This window comes from Homo sapiens, chromosome 7 (genome assembly GCF_000001405.40).
Source record: "Homo sapiens chromosome 7, GRCh38.p14 Primary Assembly".
Lineage (NCBI taxonomy): Eukaryota > Metazoa > Chordata > Mammalia > Primates > Hominidae > Homo > Homo sapiens.
The window spans coordinates 77,507,635-77,513,815 of record NC_000007.14 but is presented as its reverse complement, the minus strand read 5'-3'; the positions used below and the strand labels follow the sequence as shown (position 1 = coordinate 77,513,815).

General features: G+C 49.1%; 1 annotated feature.

The window, feature by feature from the left end:
• Positions 4,155-5,130: an enhancer, noted in NCBI's record as "H3K27ac hESC enhancer chr7:77138003-77138978 (GRCh37/hg19 assembly coordinates)". NCBI's record gives its function as "activates a minimal SCP1, AML or CMV promoter by ChIP-STARR-seq in naive H9 embryonic stem cells {active_cell/tissue: H9 hESC(naive)}" and the evidence as "EXISTENCE:reporter gene assay evidence [ECO:0000049][PMID:30033119]".

Sequence of the window (6,181 nt, the reverse complement as noted above, 5' to 3'; positions counted from 1 at the left end):
ATTCTGGACAGAGGAAGAGGCATGGGCAAAAATGCTTGGCAATTTCAGAGAGGAGCACACAACTGAGAATAATTGGAGAGGATGATGTATGTTTATAGGAGCCAGATAATGAAGATACTTGTTCTACTATGCTAACAAGTTAAAATAATTAAAACTCTCACCCCACAGGAGGAATCTTGCCCACAAATATTCTTTGTTTGATGTAGGTTTTTTTTTCTTGAATTTGAATGTCTTTAAAAAGACGTACATTCTCTAGTCTTCTGTCTCCTCAGGCTCACCCCTCCATATTTAGGTTACCTAGCTATCCCTGCAGACATTTGAGCTTACTCCCCCTGCTGCAGCAATGGGGAGTCACGGAAGATTATCTTTGTTTATAGGAGCCAGATAATGAAGATACTTGTTCTACTATGCTAACAAGTTAAAATAATTAAAACTCTCACCCCACAGGAGGAATCTTGCCCACAAATATTCTTTGTTTGATGTAGGTTTTTTTTTCTTGAATTTGAATGTCTTTAAAAAGACGTACATTCTCTAGTCTTCTGTCTCCTCAGGCTCACCCCTCCATATTTAGGTTACCTAGCTATCCCTGCAGACATTTGAGCTTACTCCCCCTGCTGCAGCAATGGGGAGTCATGGAAGATTATCTTAAGGTGGAGTTAACATGAACGTATTTGCTCTTTCAGAGACCATTCTGGCTTACTGTGGAGGATAAATGGTGAGGCCAATTGGGAAGGGATGGTACAAGATATAGAAATGTCTTAGCTCGGGCTGCCTTAACCAAATGCCATAGCCTGGGTGGCTTAAACTCAGACATTTATTTTTCATTATTCTGGAAGCTGGAAAGTCCAAGATCAAGGCACAAGCAGATTCAATTCTTGGTGAGGGCTTTCTTCCTGGCTTGTAGATGGCCACCTTCTTACTGTATCCTTAAAGAGAGAAGGAGCTCTGGTTTCCCTTCCTCTTCTTATAAGGGCACTAATCCTATCATGGGGCCTCCACCCTCATGACTTCATCTAAACCTAATTACTTGCCAAAGGCCCCACCTCCTCATACCATCACAATGGGGGTTGGAGTTTCAGCATATGAATTTTGAGGGGAATACAAACATTCAAGCTATAAAAAGCGACTTACTGGGTGAAGAGGCTGAGAGGGAGGACTCATGATTCTCAGTTTCCCACTGAATGAACGGTGGTTCCATTAACTCCAAATGGATAGCACAAGAGGTTTTATTCTATATGTTTATATGAAGTTGTAAAATTTCTTAGGAAGGATTGTGGAGCAATTGCTAAAATCCACTTAATGTCTATTGGAAGTACCTAGATGAAGTTCACCAGGAGACCTTTCAAAAGTGTCTCAAATGTTCCTATAAATATTGTGACATATTTATGTCATAAATCAGGATACATGGTAGGACATGTTGGGCATTAATAACAGACATAATATTTAAAATGGGAACTGTTCTGAAAAATCAGGAGTGTATGGTCACTGGATATAAAAATTACTTTGTTGTCTCATCTAGGTTCTCTTTTATCAAAGGTCCCTCTGAATAAAAATACTATCGTTAGAATGTACATGTTTAAATAAACACGTCTCAAGTACAGCTAATCGATCTATGGGTATTTCCTCATTTTCATCTTCAATAATAATTTCAAACTCCCTACCATACTTTTCTACAGAGCTATTAATAGGAAGCTTCCATCAGCTAACTTGAGTTTCCTCTCATTTTCCCAGCTGACATTCACTGGAGGTATTAATGGGAAATATAATGTCTAAAAGACATAGGTAGTCTTCAAATTGGATACTCAGGCACTGAATAATCTTAACTTCATGAAAATCAGCTCTTCATTCTGTAAAGTATCTAGCACACTCAAAATGTAGAGTACATATAGGAGGGAAAACCATAGCGTGGCAATGTCTTCCTGTTATTCCATACATATTAGTGTGTTCTATTTTTCACAATGCTTGCTAAACTGGTTTTATGCTTGAAATAATTGTCACAGAGTTTCACAAAACTTTGGAAACACAATTAACCCACCAATAAATTGAGTGGGATACTATGGAGAATGCAAAGATGTATAAGACATGATTTCCTTTAGGTGTTTAATACTTAATAGAGGAAATAAGACACATTCATGAAAAAGATAATAACATAAGCTACTATGTGATGTCAAACAATAGTTCTTTTTTTCATATCTATGAATTCATTAGAGACGAGAAAAAAATTTCACAAAAAGTTGGCATTTACAATGTAATGAAAGAAGCATGACCTCTAAAATACAAGCACGGAAAGCAATAAAAATAATTAAAGGAAATATTTCAAGACTTACAATGTAAGAGTAAATTTTTTTTCTTCAAACTTTTCTTTCAGGTGCAGGGGGTACACATGCAGGTTTGTTACATGGGTAAATTGTTTGTTGCTGGGGTTTAGGGTACAAATGATTTCATCACCCACGTGGTGAGCATAGTACCTGATAGTTTTTCACTTCTCACCCTCCTCCCATCCTTCACCCTCAAGTAAAACCCAGTGTCTTGTTTTTCCCCTCTTTGTGTCCATGTGTACTCATTGTTTAGCTCCCACCTATATATGAGAACATTTGGGGTTTGGTTTTCTGTTCCTGCATTAATTCGCTTAGGACAATGGCCTCCAGTTGCACCCATGCTGCAAAGAACATGATTTCATTCTTTTTTATGGCTCTGTAGTATTCCTCAGTGTATATGTACCACATTTTTTTAATCCAGTCCACTGTTGATGGACATCTAGGTTGATTCCATGTCTTTGCCATTGTGAAAATTGCTGCAAAGTATATGTGAGTACATGTGTCTTTTTTTTTTTTTTTTTGAGATAGGAAATGTGTCTTTATGGTAGAATAATTTATATTCCTTTGGATATATACCCAATAATGAGATTACTGGGTTGAATGGTAGTTCTGTTTTAAGTTCTTTGAGAAATCTCCAAACTAATTTCCATAGTGGCAGAACTAATTTACATTTCCACCAGCAGTGTATAAGCATTCTCTTTTCTTAACAACTTCACCAACATGTTATTTTTTCACTTTTTAAAAATAGCCATTTTGACTGGTGCGAGATGGTATCTCACCCTGGTTTTGATTTTGATTTGCATTTCTCTATTAACTGGTGATACTGAGTGTTTTTCATATGCTTGTTGGCCACATGTGTATATTCTTTTGAGAAGTCTCTGTTCATGTCCTTTGACCATTTTTTTTTTTAATTTATTTTTTTATTGATAATTCTTGGGTGTTTCTCACAGAGGGGGATTTGGCAGGGTCATGGGACAGTAGTGGAGGGAAGGTCAGCAGATAAACAAGTGAACAAAGGTCTCTGGTTTTCCTAGGCAGAGGACCCTGCGGCCTTCCGCAGTGTTTGTGTCCCTGATTACTTGAGATCAGGGATTGGTGATGACTCTTAACGAGCATGCTGCCTTCAAGCATCTGTTTAACAAAGCACATCTTGCACCGCCCTTAATCCATTTAACCCTGAGTGGACACAGCACATGTTTCAGAGAGCACAGGGTTGGGGGTAAGGTCACAGATCAACAGGATCCCAAGGCAGAAGAATTTTTCTTAGTGCAGAACAAAATGAAAAGTCTCCCATGTCTACTTCTTTCTACACAGACACGGCAACCATCCGATTTCTCAATCTTTTCCCCACCTTTCCCGCCTTTCTATTCCACAAAGCCGCCATTGTCATCCTGGCCCGTTCTCAATGAGCTGTTGGGCACACCTCCCAGACGGGGTGGTGGCCGGGCAGAGGGGCTCCTCACTTCCCAGTAGGGGCGGCCGGGCAGAGGCGCCCCTCGCCTCCCGGACGGGGCGGCCGGCCGGGCAGAGGGCTGACCCCCCCACCTCCCTCCCGGACGGGGCGGCTGGCCGGGCAGAGGGGCTCCTCACTTCCCAGTAGGGGCGGCCGGGCAGAGGCGCCCCTCACCTCCCAGACGGGGCGGCTGGCTGGGCGGAGGGCTGACCCCCCCACCTCCCTCCCGGACAGGGCGGCTGGCCGGGGGGGGGGCTGACCCCCCCACCTCCCTCCCAGACGGGGCGGCTGGCCGGGCAGAGGGGCTCCTCACTTCCCAGTAGGGGCGGCCGGGCAGAGGCGCCCCTCACCTCCCAGACGGGGCGGCTGGCCAGGCGGAGGGCTGACCCCCCCACCTCCCTCCCAGACGGGGCGGCTGGCCAGGCGGGGGGCTGACCCCCCCACCTCCCTCCCGGACGGGGCGGCTGGCCGGGTGGGGGGGCTGACCCCCCATCTCCCTCCTGGACGGGGTGGCTGGCCGGGCTGAGGGGCTCCTCACTTCCCAGTAGGGGTGGGCGGGCAGAGGCGCCCCTCACCTCCCGGACGGGGCGGCTGGCCGGGCAGGGGGCTGACCCCCCCACCTCCCTCCCGGACGGCACGGCTGGCCAGGCGGGGGGCTGACCCCCCCACCTCCCTCCCGGATGGCACGGCTGGCCGGGCGGGGGCTGACCCCCCACCTCCCTCCCGGATGGGGCAGCTGGCCGGGCGGGGGGCTGACCCCCCCCACCTCCCTCCCGGACAGGGTGGCTGCCGGGCGGAGAGGCTCCTCACCTCCCAGACGGGGCGGCTGCCGGGCAGAGGGGCTCCTCACTTTTCAGACGGGGTGGTTGCCAGGCAGAGGGTCTCCTCACTTCTCAGACGGGGCGGCCGGGCAGAGACGCTCCTCACCTCCCAGACGGGGTCTCGGCCGGGCAGAGGCGCTCCTCACATCCCAGATGGGGCGGCGGGGCAGAGGCGCTCCCCACATCTCAGACGATGGGCGGCCGGGCAGAGACGCTCCTCACTTCCTAGATGTGATGGCGGCTGGGAAGAGGCGCTCCTCACTTCCTAGATGGGATGGCGGCCGGGCGGAGACGCTCCTCACTTTCCAGACTGGGCAGCCAGGCAGAGGGGCTCCTCACATCCCAGACGATGGGCGGCCAGGCAGAGACACTCCTCACTTCCCAGACGGGGTGGCGGCCGGGCAGAGGCTGCAATCTCGGCACTCTGGGAGGCCAAGGCAGGCGGCTGGGAGGTGTAGGTTGTAGTGAGCCGAGACCACGCCACTGCACTCCAGCCTGGGCACCATTGAGCACTGAGTGAACGAGACTCCCTCTGCAATCCCGGCACCTCGGGAGGCCAAGGCGGGCGGATCACTCGCGGTTAGGGGCTGGAGACCGGCCCGGCCAACACAGCGAAACCCCGTCTCCACCAAAACCAGTCAGGCGTGGCGGCGCGTGCCTGCAATCACAGGCACTCGGCAGGATCTTCTATCTGTCCAAACTGGGACCGAGTCCTCGGCCTCGGAGGCTCCACGCTCCCTCTCTCACAGCCCGCACCTCGGCGGTCTCTCGGAGGAGGGAGGAACCCGAGGTACCTGGTAGTCGTAGCTGAGGAACTTACAGGCTTGTTGACCATCTCACCATGGAAACTCGACCATTTTTTAATGGGGTTGTTTTTTTGTTTTGTTTTTGTTTTTGTTTTGAGACGGAGTCTCACTCTGTCGCCCAGGCTGGAGTGCAGTGGCGTGATCTCAGCTCATTGCAAGCTCCGCCTCCCAGGCTCACGCCATTCTCCTGCCTCAGCCTCCTGAGTAGCTGGGACTACAGGTGCCCGCCACCACGCCTGGCTAATTTTTTGTATTTTTAGTAGAGACGGGGTTTCACCAATGTTAGCCAGGATGGTCTTGATCTCCTGACCTCGTGATCCGCCTGCCTCAGCCTCCCAAAGTGCTGGGATTACAGGCGTGAGCCACTGTGCCTGGCCAGGGTTGATATTTTGTTTTTTTGTTTGAGATGGAGTCTTGCTCTTGTCACCCAGGCTGGAGTGCAGTGGTGTGATCTCTGCTCACTGCAACCTCTGCCTCCTGGGTTCAAGTGATTCTCCTGCCTCAGCCTCACGAGTAGCTGGGATTACAGGCACCTGCCACCATGCCTGGCTGAGTTTTCGATCTTTTGTAGAGACGGGGTTTCACCATGTTGGCCAGGCTAGTCTCAAACTTCTGACCTTAGGTAATTCGCCCATCTTGGCCTTTTCATTCTGTTTTGTAGAATGGAGCCTAACCCCGCCCCCCCCCCCAAATAAAAATAAAACAAATTTTCAATTACAATGAGCAATGCACAAAGATATTGAGGTACATAAGGAAGTCTGGCCCTGTAAGCAAGATTCAAAG